Source organism: Homo sapiens, chromosome 19 (assembly GCF_000001405.40).
Source record: "Homo sapiens chromosome 19, GRCh38.p14 Primary Assembly".
Classification (NCBI taxonomy): Eukaryota; Metazoa; Chordata; class Mammalia; order Primates; family Hominidae; genus Homo; species Homo sapiens.
Window position 1 is genome coordinate 54,737,525 of NC_000019.10, and position 16,132 is coordinate 54,753,656.

A 16,132-nucleotide genomic window follows, 5' to 3' on the forward strand; every position below is an offset into this window, starting at 1 on the left:
GCCATTTCATGCAAGGGGCTTGAGCATCTGCAGATTTTGGTATCTGAATGGGGATCCTGGAACCAATCACCCAGGTATAGTGAAGGACCATGGTATATAATTTTTATTTGTCAATCTTAAAAATAAAGCATAAAAAATTTACAACAACAAGATAAAAAATAAGAAGTGTTTTTATAGTGTGAGGATAAGTTTAGATTTATTTTTTCCTACGTGTAACCCTATGGTCCTGTGTTATTTGTTGAGAAAATATTCTATTCCACCTTAAACTACATGGCAGCCTTTGTCAACTATAAAGGGACTGTGTATCCACAGATGTATTTTAGACACAGTTTTCTGTCCAGTGGTTCTCTGTATCCCCTCTCATGAGGATGCTGCATTTTATATAAACTTATAGAACCCCTTAAAATTTGGTAACCTGAGTCCTCTGATTTGTTATTATAGGTTATTTAGTTTGCTTTTTTTTTTTTTCTTGAGACAGACTCTTCCTCTGTCACCCAAGCTGGAGTTCAGTGGCTTGAGCTCAGCTCACTGCAACCTCCGTCTCCCAGGTTCAAGCTATTCTGATGCCTCTGGTTTAGTAGTAGAAACTCAAGCAGGAAAATTAGAATGGCTTCTTGTCACAATTACTCTGATAATGTTAATAATACCTGTTAGACATTTTGCACATTACATATGAAGAAGAGTTTGAATCTCAGATAAAAACAAAAATACATCAAAAATCTTTAATGTAAGCACAGAATTCAATCATCTCGTGTATGAGAGGTTGGATCTGAGACGTCTTTTGAGTCTGGTCGTAGTGAAGGACGCAAGGTGTCAATTCTAGTGAGAACAATTTCCAGGAAGCCATGTTCCGCTCTTGAGCGAGCACCCACTGGGCCTCATGCAAGGTAGAAAGAGCCTGCGTACGTCACCCTCCCATGATGTGGTCAACATGTAAACTGCATGGGCAGGGCGCCAAATAACATCCTGTGCGCTGCTGAGCTGAGCTGGGGCGCGGCCGCCTGTCTGCACAGACAGCACCATGTCGCTCATGGTCGTCAGCATGGTGTGTGTTGGTGAGTCCTGGAAGGGCATCGAGGGAGGGAGTGCGGGGATGGAGATCGGGGCCCAGAGTTGGAGATATAGGCCTGGAAGTGGAGTTATGGGCCTAGAGATGGAGTGATGGGCCTAGAAGTGGAGATCTGGGCCTGGAGTGGAGATCTGGGCCTGGAGTGGAGATATGGGCCTGGAGGTTGAGATATGGGCCTGCAGTAGAGATATGGGCTTGTAGTGGAGACATGGGCCTGGAGATGGAGATATGGGCCTGGAGATGGAGATATGGGCCTGCAGTAGAGATAGGGGCCTGGAGTGGAGATATGGGCCTGGAGTGGAGATATGGGCCTGGAGTGGAGATATGGGCCTGGAGGTGGAGATATGGGCCTGGAGGTGGAGATATGGGCCTGGAGTGGAGATATGGGTCTGGAGGTGGAGATACGGGCCTGCAGTAGAGATATGGGCCTGGAGTGGAGATATGGGCCAGGAGTGGAGTTATGGGCCTAGAGGTGGATATCTGGGCCTGGAGTGGAGATATGGGCCTAGGAAGGAGATATGGGCCTGGGTGTGGAGATATGGGACTGGAGAGGTGATATGGGCCTGGAGTGGAGATATGGGCTTAGGGTGGAGATCTGGGCCTGGGGCGGAGATATGGGACTGGATTGGAGATAGGGGCCTAGGGTGGAGATCTGAGCCTGGATTGGCGATATGGGCCTAGGGTGGAAATATCAGCCTGGAGTGGAGATATGGGCTTGGGGTGGGGATATGGGCCTGGAAACTGGGTCTCTGCACAGCCGACAGCCCTGTTCTTGGGTGCAGGTAGGCACTGAGGGTGAGTTTAACTTCAGCCCAGGAAGGGCCTGGCTGCCAAGACTCACAGCCCAGTGGGGGCAGCAAGGGAGGCCTGGTTTGCCTGCAGATGGATGGTCCATCATGATCTTTCTTTCCAGGGTTCTTCTTGCTGCAGGGGGCCTGGCCACATGAGGGTGAGTCCTTCTCCAAACCTTCGGGTGTCATCTCCCCACATAAGAGGATTTTCCTGAAACAGGAGGGAAGTCCTGTCGGGGAGTCTCTCATAAACTAGGAAGAGAGGACCCTGGGGTGCTCAGCCCACATTTCTGACCTCGCCTCCCTGGCCTCTCAACCCCTTGGCAGAGTCAAGTTCTGTGGGGACCAGGGTTAGACTGGGGTGCTCAAAGCTGGGGTGTGTGGTTGGGAAGTGGTAGGAACAGCAGATCCTCTGAGGACAAAGGTGTTACTCACACACTTCAGCGTTTCCATGATGGTAGGGGCTGCAGTGTGGCTGCTGTCATTCTACCAGAAGAGGTGGGAAACCACAGCCATGGCCCTGACATTCCAAATCCTCTGATGGGGGCTCAGTTGTTTATTTTCGTTCAGGCATCCGCTGATATCCATTCACAAAGGACATGCCCTCCACCTCATGTCTACCCTGTGTTGTTTTATGTGAGTAATCTTACAGTATTAAAATCTAGTAGGAGTCTCTTTACTCAGCACTTGCTCAAAGTTCTCAGCTGAGGCTTTTGTTGTAGGGAGACACCATGTCTTTGCGGGATGGGTCCTTCCTTCAGCCCTGGGCACCAAGGTGTGATAGTAGCCATAGAAACGTGGAAAGCGAGGAGAATCTTCTGAGCACAGGGAGGGAAGGGCAGTTCCACATCCTCCTCTCTAAGGCGGCGCCTCCTTCTCCCCAAGGTGGTCAGGACAAGCCCTTGCTGTCTGCCTGGCCCAGCCTTGTGGTGCCTCTAGGACATGTCATTCTTCGGTGTCACTCTTATCTTGGGTTTAACAACTTCAGTCTGTAAAAGGAAGGTGGGGTGCCTGTCCCTGAGCTCTACAACAGAATATTCTGGAACAGCCTTTTCATGGGCCCTGTGACCCCCGCACACACAGGGACATACAGATGTCGGGGTTCACACACACACTCCCCCAGTGGGTGGTCAGCACCCAGCAACCCCCTGGTGATCGTGGTCATAGGTCAGAGGGCTCCTGTCTTGGATTCTCCTTGTCCCACCTCCTGAATCCCAGAGCTTCTGTTGGGCATGTCCTTGAGGGTCCCATCACGCAGGCCCTGACTGTATTTGTGGTAAAGGGGGATTGAATACAGGGAAATGGGTGCTGTGGTGGGAAGAATAATTGTCCCCAGTGATGACTACATTCTAATCCCTGGAGTCTGTGACTATTTATGTTATAGGGGAAGGGACTGAAGGGGAAGATGGAGCTCATGGGGAGACAGCCTGGACTGTCCCACTGGGCTCAGTGTAATCACAAGGGTGCACATGAAAGGAGGAGGAAGAGGGGAGTGGGGATTAGAGCAGTCCAGTGGAAGTCTTCACCAGCTTTGAAGGTGGAGGAAGGCCAAGATCCATGAATGCAGGTGGCCTATAGAGGCTGGAAAAGTCAAGGAACTGATTCTCCAGAGTCTCCAGAGGGAACAAAGCCCTGCAGATGCCTTGATTTTAGCCCAGGAAAAATAGGGTCCAATTTCTGTCTCCAGTACTGGAAGGTGTCAGTGTGGTCTCTCCTGCTGCCATGCTTCTGATAATTTTCTACAGCAGCAACAGGAAACCAACACTGGAACCCAGGTCAAGGACAAGTTAAGAAACAACCCAAGGAAAGCCAGGCATGGTGGCAGGTGCATGTAATCCTAGCGACTCAGGAGGCTGAGGGCAGGAGAATCACTTGAACCCAGGAGACAGAGGTTGCAGTGAGCCTAGACCACACCACTTCACTCCAGCCTGGGTGAAGGAGTGAGACTCTGTCTCCATAATTAATTAATTAATTAAAGAAACCAAACAAGGAGAAGGTTGGCTACCCTGAGATCAGCAAGGGTGGGATGATGATGCCACCACCAGGCTCCATCCACATAGGGAGGGGTTGATACTCCTCCAACCAGCACCAGGAGCCAGCCTATGGAAGCTGGCACCATGGAGAAGGCACAGGCATGGCAAGAGTGGCTCCCAGTCCCCACCAGGAACAGGGTGTGTGGACACTGGTGCCTGCCTTATTCATCAGTTCATACCTTCTGCCAAGGATTGCAATTCATCCAAAAGAGATTGAACCAGGCTGATAAGAGCCTGGATGTGCAGCCTATCCTGGTTCCTCTTTCACCCCCACATAAACAGCAGGAAATACATTAGTGTGAAATAGATACAACACCCCAAGAGATGAGGCTCAGCCCAGTGGGAAGGGAATCAGAGGCTACTAGAGACAGAGGGACAGAGAAGAGGGAGGGAGACAGATGGAAGGACCTGCACCAGGAGTTAAGGGCACAGAAAAGAACATGAAGACACAGAGAGGAAGGAGAGAGACAGACACCAGCAAGGGGAAGCCTCACTCATTCTAGGTGCCATGGATGGGATGATAAAGAGAGACACCTTCTAAACTCACAACCTCTCTTCCTAGGAGTCCACAGAAAACCTTCCCTCCTGGCCCACCCAGGTCCCCTGGTGAAATCAGAAGAGACAGTCATCCTGCAATGTTGGTCAGATGTCAGGTTTCAGCACTTCCTTCTGCACAGAGAAGGGAAGTTTAAGGACACTTTGCACCTCATTGGAGAGCACCATGATGGGGTCTCCAAGGCCAACTTCTCCATCGGTCCCATGATGCAAGACCTTGCAGGGACCTACAGATGCTACGGTTCTGTTACTCACTCCCCCTATCAGTTGTCAGCTCCCAGTGACCCTCTGGACATCGTCATCACAGGTGAGAGTGTCCGGACATTCTCATTGTCATTGGGATGCAGAGTGAATGATCCACGACTTGGAACCCCCAGGTAGTTGTAAGGAAGATGAGCTTGGTATTCTTATGGAGAGAGACTGACTTGCTGAGGTTTGTACCAACAGAGACAGAGAAACAGGAGACACAAGTACAGACCAGGTGTCATAACAGAGGACAGACACAGGGGCCATACAGGGAGTTAGAAAAGACAGAAAGAGTTAAAAGAGACAGACAGACAGACATGTCCCAGAGAGAGGTGTCCCTCCATGCTGACTTTGCTCACAGACCTGGCACAGGTTAGAAGTTTCATTTCTGTTTTACCTCCACAAAGTGTTCTCTACCAGGAGAACCCAAGGACACCCATATTTATGACCTGAGTTGGGCCCTGTGGCCTCAGGCCTTGTGGCACCTACAGGCCATGTTTATTCTGACACCTCTGCCTTCCATGTAATGGAGAGTAATCGTCCCAGGATATCATGGCCCCAGAACACCAACCCCTGTATGCTGTGTGAACTTGTGGTCTCCAGACTGGATTCTGTGGCTCACATTCCAAATAACCCCACATATGAAAGGATCACTGAGAGGCACAGAGAAAAATCAGGAACACCAAAAAGCAAAGACATAAACACACAGAGAATGAGCCAGAGGAAGGAGATTGAGAGACTCACAGACACATAAAGAGAGAGAAAAGAGGGCAGAGGAGTGGTGAGAATGATGGCAGGGAGCAGAGAAAAGCACTAAAATTAGAGTCCTGAGAGAGAGGCACAAGGACATAGAAACATGGAGATGTGGGGATGAATTGCAGAGATTCCAAAGAGAACTAGAGAGACCGAGAGGCAGAGCAAGACAGATGATAGATGGATAGATATAGATAGATGATAAATAGGTAGATGATAGATAATAGGTTAAAGATACATAGATGATGATTGATTGATTCATTAATAGATAATACATAGAGATGATGATGATGAAGACAGATAATACGTACAGATAGAGAGGCAGACAGAAATCATAGAGAGAGAGATGATACATACATATAAATAACAGATGATTGATGGATAGATAGACAAGTGATAGATACATAGATGATATATAGATATAGATGACAGGTAGAGAATTTGTAGATAGGCACCGAATAGATAAATAGATAGATCGACAGATAATAGATAGAAATATGCAGAAAGTTATGAACAGGACACAACGTGAGAAACTTAGAATTTAAAAAAGTAACATCAAGTCAACCAATCCAAGGAGAGTCAGAGAGAATAAAAGAATCCAAAAAGGGAAAACATATCTAGAGGTGGGGAAGCGAGGTCAGAGACCTAGAGAGACAGAGAAGGTGGAAGAAGGAAATAGACATGAAGAGAGATGGGGTGGAGGGTGAGAGAGAGAGAGAGAGAGAGCATTAGGTCATAGAGCAGGGGAGTGAGTTCTCAGCTCAGGTGAAGGGAGCTGTGACAAGGAAGATCCTCCGTAAGGAAAATGCCTCTTCTCCTCCAGGTCTATATGAGAAACCTTCTCTCTCAGCCCAGCCGGGCCCCACGGTTCTGGCAGGAGAGAGCGTGACCTTGTCCTGCAGCTCCCGGAGCTCCTATGACATGTACCATCTATCCAGGGAGGGGGAGGCCCATGAACGTAGGTTCTCTGCAGGGCCCAAGGTCAACGGAACATTCCAGGCCGACTTTCCTCTGGGCCCTGCCACCCACGGAGGAACCTACAGATGCTTCGGCTCTTTCCGTGACTCTCCATACGAGTGGTCAAACTCGAGTGACCCACTGCTTGTTTCTGTCACAGGTGAGGAAACCCCATATCTGTCTCATGTCCTATGATCCTAGAGCCTTAGCTGAGGAGCTTCCTGCTGATGATGGAGAGAAGCATGGACAGATGCAGAGAGAAGACGAAGCTTGGGTGTGAGGGAGGGATCAGGGCACAGGATGGCAGACAGGGCACCTCCAAACCCTCCTACACGGCCTGCATGAAGGCCCGCGGCCAGGGCTCCAGGCACACAGGCAGATGGAGAAAACGGTCAGGAGAGACCCAGAGGAGAGAGACTGGGCTCAGTTTGGGAAGATCAGAGGTTCCCTCAGCCCCTCAACATTACCCATTTCCCAGAAGCCCATCCTGGCCTCTCACCCACACAGGGATGTCATCACCAGCAACCCCTACACCCTTTACTTTTGTTTGAAGAAATATTTATTGAGGATAAATATACCTATATAGCTTACCACCTTTAACATTTTTTTTTTTTTTGAGGCAGAGTCTAGCTCTGTCCCCTATGCTGGAGTGCAGTGGCACAATCTCAGCTCACTGCAACTTCCGCCTCCTGGGTTCAAGTGATTCTCCTGCTTCAGCCACCTGAGTAGCTGGTGCTACAGGCGCGCACCACCACGCCAGGCTACTTTTTGTATTTTTAGTAGAGAGGGGGTTTCACCATGTTGGTCGAGCTGGTCTCCAACTCCTGACCACGTGATCCACCCGCATCTGCCTCCCAAAGTGCTGGGATTACAGGCATGAGCCACCACGCCCAGCCACATTTACCATTTTTAAGTGTAAAGTCTAGTGGTCATAAATACATTTATATATATATATATATATATATATATACACACACACACACATATATAAACATATATATATATATATATATATATATATATATATTTTTTTTTTTTTTTTTTTTTTTACCCTCCACCCTTTTATTCCTGGCCTCTGGAAGCCACCATTCTACTCTCTACCTTCATGAGATCCACCTTTTAGCTCTGTATATGGGTGAGAAATGGGAATCTTTGTAATGACTTCCAGTTCCATCCATGTGGCTGCAAATATCAGGATGTTATTCTTTCTATGGATGAGTAGTCTCCACTGTGCGTATGTACTACATTCTCTCTATCCATTCATCCACTGATGGGCAGGTAGGTTGACTCCACATCTTGGCTACTGTGAACAGTGCTGCACCAATCATACGAGTGCAGATATCACTTCGATATATTGATTTACTTTCCTTTGGATATAAACCCAGTAGTGAAATTGCTGGATACTATGAAAGTTCTCTTTTTAGTTATTCGTTTGTTGTTTTGTTTTTGTTTTTGAGACAGTTTCCCTCTGTGCCCAGGCTGGAGTACAAGTGAAGTCATCTTGGCTCATTGCAACCTCCGCCTCCTGGGTTCAAATGATTTTCCTGCCTCAGCCTCCCTAGTAGCTGGGATTACAGGTGCACGCCACCATGCCTGGCTACTTTTTGTTTTTTTTAGTATAGATGGGGTTTCCCCATGTTGGCTGGGCTGCTCTCAAACTCATGACCTCAACTGAGGTGCCCGCCTCGGTCTCCCAAAGTGCCGGGATTACAGGCATGATCCACCTCACCCAACCTCTTTTTAGTTCTTTAAAGGACTTCCACACTTTTCTCCGTAAAGGCTGTACTAATTTACACTCCTACCAACAGGGTATTAGGGTTCTCCTTTCTCTACCACTTTGGCAGGATTTCCTTTGCCTGTCTTGCAGCTAAAAGCCATTTTATTTTATTTCATTTTATTTTGAGATGGAGTTTCGCTCTTGTCACCCAGGCTGGAGTGCAGTGGTGCGATCTCGGCTCACCACAACCTCCACCTCCCAGGTTCAAGCGATTCTCCTGCCTCAGCCTCCCGAGTAGCTGGAATTACAGGCACACGCCACCACGCCCAACTAAATTTTGTATTTTTAGTAGAGACAGTGTTTCTTCATGTGGGTCAGACTGGTCTCAAACTCCCGACCTTATGAGGTTCACCCACCTCAGGCTCTCAAAGGTCTAGGATGACAGACGTGAGCCACCACGCCCGGCCTAAAATCCATTTTAATGGGGTGAGATGAAAACTCACTTTGATTTTAATTTGTGTTTCTCTGATGATGAGTGAAACTGAGCACTTTTTAGTATGTGGGGAAATTTCATGTGTTTTGCTCCTTTTTCAATTAAATCGTTTGTTTTATTGAGTTGTTTGAGCTTCTTATATTTCTAGTTATTAATCCCATCTCAGATGCATAGTTTGCACATATTTGCTCCCAATCTGTGGGTTGTCTCTTCACTTTGTTGGTTTATTTTTAGCGGTGCAGAAGTTGCTTAGTTTGAGGTAATCCCAATGGTCTATTTTTGCTTCGATTACTTGTGTTTTGAAGGTTTAAAACAAAATGTCTTCCTTCAGACAAATGTCCTGGAGCATTTCCCCAATATTTTCTTCTACGTGTTTCATAGGTTCAGGCCTTAGACTCACATCTTTAATCCATTTTCATTTGAGTTTTGTGTATAGTGACAGGTAGAGGTGCAGTTTCATTCCTCTGCATGTAGATGTCCAGGTTTCCCTGCACTGTTTATTGAAAAGACTGTCCTTTCCTGATTGTGAGTTCTTGGCACCTTTGTCAAAGTCCATTGGATGGGCTGGGCATGGTGGCTGACACCTGCAATTTCAGCACTTTGGGAGCCCAAGGCGGGTGGATCACCTGAGGCCAGGAGTTCAAGATTAGTCTGGCCGACGTGATGAAACATTGTCTCCACTAAAAATATAAAAATTAGCTGAGCATGGTGGTCAGCACCTGTAATACCACTACTCAGGAGTTTGAGGCCAGAGAATTGATTGAACCCAGGAGGCTGTGGTGGCAGTGAACCGAGATTGCACCTCTGCACTCCAGCCTGGGTGACAGAGCGAGACTCCATCTCAAAAGAAAAAAGAAAAAAACATTGGAGGTAAATGCATGGATTATATCTGTGTTCTTCATTCTGCTCCATTGTTCTACGTGCCTTTCTTTATGCCAATGTGATGCTGTTTTGCTTACTACAGCTCTGTAACATATTTTGAGATCAGGTAGTGTGATGCTCCTGTTTTCTCTTTATACCTTGAAGTCTCAAGACAGTGGGCGTCACATACAAAAATTACGGAAAAAAGGATCCCAGGACTCCCAGGGCCCAATATTAGATAACAGAGTGTTGGCCATGAACCAACCTCAAAGATTTCCATTGAGTAGAGGACAGACACCCTCATTTCCTCACCTCTCTCCTGTCTCGTGTTCTAGGAAACCCTTCAAATAGTTGGCCTTCACCCACTGAACCAAGCTCCGAAACCGGTGAGTACAGAACCCTCTTATATCCGCTTTTGGAAACCTGGGGAGGTAGAAACCTTCGATGCAGGCATTGACTCAGCATCTCGCAGCTCTGACATTGTACGCCTGTCTTCTACCATCTCCGAACTCCAGATACTCCAACAGCGAAAGGGATCTGGGCCCAACCTAGGGCTCAGTGAAATCTCTTAATCTCTCATTTTATGGAGCTGAGACCTCCTACAAGCTAGAAGAATGATTGCCAATCTGACATCCTTCTCAGGAAAAATGCAATGTTTGTTCTGCCTGCATTCCTAACTGGAGGATAAATTCCTGGGGGCTTGAGAGAGGGAAGGGAAGGGAACATCTGATGAGGGCGAGGTGTTTTAGAGAAGTTCCACTTGCCAAGGAATGAATTACTGTTGGTCATGAAGCAACCCTGGCTGACTCAGCAGAGCAACAGCCTTGCCGTAACAGAGAACGGAGCTCATGCACGCACACTTCGACTCACTGACTCATTCAGCCACGGCCCCATGCTCAGGCTGTGCAGTGCGGAACCTTTTCCTATTGTTGCCATAACAAATTTCCACAAGATTCGTGGGTGAAAACAAAACGGTTTTTTAATTATCTTACAGTGCTGTAGCTCAAAGTAGGAAGTGCATCTTACTGGGCTAAAATCAAGGTGACAGCAAGGCTGCCTTCCCTCTGAGGATTCCAGGCAAGAATCTGCTTCTCACTTATCCCAGCTTCTAAAGGCTCCCAGTTCCTTGGCTCCTGTTCCCCTTCCTCCTTCCTCAAAGCCCACAAAGACTGGTCACATCTCACATGGCATCACTCAGTGCCTTCTTCCTTACCACACCTCTTTCTCTGAATGCTGCTCTCCCTTCTTCCTTATCTTTTGAAAACTTGGGGATTCTATTGGGTTCACCAAGATGAAAATCCCTCATAATCTCCTGGAAATCATCCAGGATACCCTTGTTTTAAGTTCAGCTGATTAGCAACCGCAATTCCATCTACAATCTTCATTCCTCCTTTCCATGTAAAATAACATATTCACAAGCTATGGAGGCTAGGACAGGGACATTTTGGGGTGGGACAGCATTCTCCTGCCTTCCACAAACGGTGAACAAGATGCATTTGGCTTCTGCCCTTGGGACACTGATATTGCAGATGGTTAAATGGGAGGGCAGAAAATGAATGCACAAGTGGATCTATAAATGAATGATCCATTGGGAAGCATCTGTGCATGAAATCTATTTTTTGTTTGTTCTTTTGTTTATTGAGACAGAGTCGCCCTCTGTCTTCCAGGCTACAGTGCAGTGTCACGATCTTGGCTCACTGCAACCTGCGTCTCCTGGATTCAAGTGATTCTCCTGCCTCCGCCTCTCGAGTAGCTGGGATTACAGGCAACTGCCACCGTGCCCGGCTAATTCTTTTTGTATATTTTTTGTAGAGAGGATGTTTCACCACGTTGGCCAAGCTTGTCTGAAACTCCCAACCTCAAGTGATCCGACCGTCTCAGCATGCCAAAGTAATGGGACTACAGGCGTGAGCCACTGTGCCCAGCCAGAATTCAAAATCAATAATAGATAATGCTGAGTGTATGATTTCAGGTGACAAAGAAGGTCTCACTATTCAGATATTTGTGACATTAATGAAAAACACGGATTGAACCCCTGAAAGATTGGCGGAAGGATTTTGCACACACAGCTGTCAGCCGTGAAGGCACAAAGGTGAAAACAATCTGATGTGGAAGGAAGAGGCTCTGCCTCAAATGCTGGGAATGATGTGGGGAGAATGACAAGACGACTGTAGAGAGACGGAGAGCACACTGGGTACACAGGAAACTAAGGAGCAACAAGGAGTGTGTGTTTGACACTCACAGCCATTGGATTCACCTCGGGGTAACCAGGAATCCCTACATGATTAATATGACTGACATGAAAATAAGGGAGGCTCAGTTGCATAACTGGAATCTAGGAGACCGTGGAAAAGGCAATTGCCACCCCACTGGTGAAATGTGGTGCTGATTTAGACACTAAATGAATGAAGTAGATGGATATAAGATATGTTTGTGAGGTAGAATCATTGACTGGAAACGCTTACTGGGTTTGATTTTCCTACTTGTTTAATCCTCGCTTAATTAATTTCTTTCTGAGATTTATTCATCCTACACATAAATCAATACCTGGCAAAGGAGTGACAGATATATGAGTGGTGGTGGAAATGAAGAGACTTATTATAGCATAATATACAAGTCTGTGAACAGTGGCTCACGCCTGTAACCTAGCACTGCAGGAGGCCAAGGTGGGTGGATTCCATGAAGTCAGGAGTTCCAGACCAGCCTGGCCAACGTGGTGAAACCCTATCTCTACTAAAAATACAAAAATTAGCCGAGCACGATGGTGCATCCCTGTAATCCCAGCTCCTATTCTGGAGGATGAAGCAGGAGAATGACTTCAACCCAGTAGGTGGAGGTTGCAGTGAGTGGAGATTGCATCACTGCACTCCAGCCTGGGGGACACAAGGAGACTCTATCTCAAAAAATAAAAATAAGAAATACATAAATATAATAAAACACACACGAATGACAAAGGCACCTGAATTCCAATCATCGTTTTTCTATTTCTCTATAATTACTTCTTTGATCCTTTATCTTATCCATTAGGCAATGAGCTTAAAACCTCTTCCCTATTTGGCTTTCTGTGAGAATGAGATCACATAGAAAATGTGAAAGCCCTCAGAATCCTCCAGCACAGATCGTGGAATAGAGAAAGTGCTCTGTTCATCGCAACAAAAAACTTGCCCACTCACCCAAATCCCCCACCTCACCCCTACTTCCAATCACCTGTGGAGATTCAGATAGGCTATGGGGAGGTAAACATTGATACTCCTTGGAGTGAGTCCAGATCTTGGAATCAGAGATCAGTGCCAGCACTAGCTCCTGCTCCCCTTTCCTACTAATTCACAGGAGGACAGGTGGTATTGAAGCAATAGATGGCCGAGGGGGTGGTCCTTCCCCCAGCCTCTCGGGTAGAACAGCAGCCTAACATGTGTCTCCCGAGATCACAAAGAGTAGCACGTTTCACACGGGCTTCAACACTATTTCCTGGCCATTTGACATAAGAGAATTCTACTTAGCTTTTTTTATCTTGATTTCACTTTTGTTTCCTTTTCTTGGAGAATGCAAGTTGTTTGATTCAAGAATGCTGTGGATGTAGAAATCCTAAAGCACATTCGCTGTGTATCAATCCCAGTGCAGTCTTCCCAGAGAAGACTCTAAATACCTCCTGGACTGCACCTGGGCTTATGCCAATTCCTATCACTCACCGTCACTCCAGGGAGACAGAACACACAGAGAATACATTACACAGGCAGGTTCATTACTAACAGATAAGCAGCGAGTGACAACAGAAACCTACATTTCAATGTGAGCCAGTCCCTCAAGGCTCAGAAAAGCTACTCGGGACATATGGAGTCACCCCATTTGCAGTGTAGCTGGGGGAAGCCAGAGAGCAGCCCAGCCTGGGTTTTGTACTGTGGAGCCACAGGAAGCACTCAGCTAAAGCACTGCATGACGTCCTCCTCCAGGAAGAACAGGAAGACAGCCCAGGCTGTTCTGAGACGTTCCTCCTGATCTCAGGACGTTGCTGTCTTAGTCCATTTTTGTTGCTCTAAAGGAACACTTGAGCCTGGGTAACTTCTAGAGAAAAGAGATTGGTTTGCCTCACAGTTCTGCAGGCTGTACTGGAAGCGTGGCACCAGCATCTATTTCTCGTGACGGCCTCAGGCTGCTCCCACTCTGGCAGAAGGGAAGGAGGGTCTGTCTGTGCAGAGACCACAGAGATCACACGGCAAGAGAGGGAGCAAGGGGGAGGGGGAGCGATGGAGCTTCCAAGCTCTTTTGAACAACCAGCTCTCCAGGAACTAATAGAAGGGGAACTTGCTAACCCCGTCTCCTTGGGACAGCATTGGTCTGTTCATGATGGATCCACCTCCATGACCCAAACACCTCTCAAGAGGCCCAACCTCCCACAGTGGGGGTGAAATTTCAATGTGAGGTTTGAAGGGGTCAAACATCTCAACTAAAGTAGTTGTATCCTCAACACGTTCTATGGTTACTATGAGAGCTATAACTGAGAAAGCAGGAGAAAGCTGGGTCTCCCTCCATCTGGGTGCTTGTCCTAAAGGGGTGTTGTATGTGGTTACCTGTCAATCAAGAAATGTGAGACAATTCATAAAGAGGAACTGCTATGATTAGCTTCTTATTGGTGTCTCCTCTTCTTCCAGGTAACCCCAGACACCTGCATGTTCTGATTGGGACCTCAGTGGTCATCATCCTCTTCATCCTCCTCCTCTTCTTTCTCCTTCATCGCTGGTGCTGCAACAAAAAAAGTAAGTCTCACGAAGCAGAGGCCAGAGAGCTCAGGGCCATGTGGGGAAGCAGGATGGGAGCACTCAGGTGTGTGTTCCTCACAGACAGGATGGTCCCTGGCCCAAGGCAGCAGCCACAGAGGGAGGACTTTCTAGAGAGAGCACCAGACTCCCTGTCCCTGCCTTCAGCTCACAGACCATTGCCTGATTCTGAACTGTATCCTCATGTCCCCTGCAGCCACTCACATCCAGGAGAAGGTTCCATGACAGGCAGAAAGTGGGAGACAGAATCAATGGGATGGGAACTCAGAGCTATTCATGGGATGGGTCCTTGAGCTCAGAGAGATAGAATGTCTGAGTCTGCTGTTGGCAACTGAGGGACCTCAGGCTCCTATGGTCTCCCCCTGTATGTTGGTATCTGCTTATGAAATGAGGGCCCAGAAGTGCCCTCTGAGCTGTTTTGTTGACTTCCGTCTTCTACAGATGCTGTTGTAATGGACCAAGAGCCTGCAGGGAACAGAACAGTGAACAGGGAGGTAGGTGCTCCTCGGCCCAGCCTCGTGGCTAGTGTTATTCCCAAAGAGTCCTGGAAAATGTGAGCACCCTCCCTCACTCAGCATTTCCCTCTCTCCAGGACTCTGATGAACAAGACCCTCAGGAGGTGACATATGCACAGTTGAATCACTGCGTTTTCACACAGAGAAAAATCACTCGCCCTTCTCAGAGGCCCAAGACACCCCCAACAGATATCATCGTGTACACGGAACTTCCAAATGCTGAGCCCTGATCCAAAGTTGTCTCCTGCCCATGAGCACCACAGTCAGGCCTTGAGGGGATCTTCTAGGGAGACAACAGCCCTGTCTCAAAACTGGGTTGCCAGCTCCAATGTACCAGCAGCTGGAATCTGAAGGCGTGAGTCTGCATCTTAGGGCATCGCTCTTCCTCACACCACAAATCTGAACGTGCCTCTCCCTTGCTTACAAATGTCTAAGGTCCCCACTGCCTGCTGGAGAGAAAACACACTCCTTTGCTTAGCCCACAATTCTCCATTTCACTTGACCCCTGCCCACCTCTCCAACCTAACTGGCTTACTTCCTAGTCTACTTGAGGCTGCAATCACACTGAGGAACTCACAATTCCAAACATACAAGAGGCTCCCTCTTAACACGGCACTTAGACACGTGCTGTTCCACCTTCCCTCATGCTGTTCCACCTCCCCTCAGACTAGCTTTCAGCCTTCTGTCAGCAGTAAAACTTATATATTTTTTAAAATAATTTCAATGTAGTTTTCCCTCCTTCAAATAAACATGTCTGCCCTCATGGTTTAGGTAATGGGACTCTTTTCTTGCCTAAGGCTTCCGGTGTTATCAGTACCATGTCCATATAATCCCATCTGTTCTCCACCGGGTTCTCACCTCTGGACTCTGAGCTTCTGGAAGCAGTGTGGAGCCTCATTTGTCTCTGGGACTCCAATTTCCATCCAAAGATGCAGCACATAGGAGGTTCCAAGGATCGGGAATCACATGAACAAGTGACATTGTTACTCTCTGCAGACCTGGAAAGCTGGCAGAGTCATTCCACGATGAAACATTTGTAGAGTCATAGGCCTTGTTAGTCTCATCTCCATGGGGACACATATCAACACATCATCTTTCATACTATAAATATACGGTCACTCCTCCGTATCTGTGGGGTTTACAGGTCTTTATTGAACAAAGTATAAATCAAAAATATTCAGAGAAAATATCCACAGAGTTCCAAAACTCATAACTATGTTGAATGGACACAAATGAAGCTGTGTGTAGGCTGTATCAGGAATTATAAGTAATCAAGAGATGATTTCATGTATACAGGAGGATGTGCATATGTTATTTGCAAGCGCTGTGCCATTTCATATAAGAGGCTTGAGCATCTACAGATTTTG

At 47.3% G+C, this 16,132-nt stretch overlaps 1 protein-coding gene across 1 annotated transcript; it reads left to right on the plus strand.

Annotated features, from left to right (window-relative positions):
* KIR2DL3 (killer cell immunoglobulin like receptor, two Ig domains and long cytoplasmic tail 3) lies at window positions 989-15,528 on the plus strand. Its single transcript, NM_015868.3, has 8 exons — window positions 989-1,055; window positions 1,983-2,018; window positions 4,456-4,755; window positions 6,271-6,564; window positions 9,811-9,861; window positions 14,125-14,229; window positions 14,692-14,744; window positions 14,843-15,528. The coding sequence occupies exons 1-8, from the start codon at window positions 1,022-1,024 to the stop codon at window positions 14,993-14,995; spliced, it is 1,026 nt and encodes a 341-aa protein (NP_056952.2). The 5' UTR covers window positions 989-1,021; the 3' UTR covers window positions 14,996-15,528.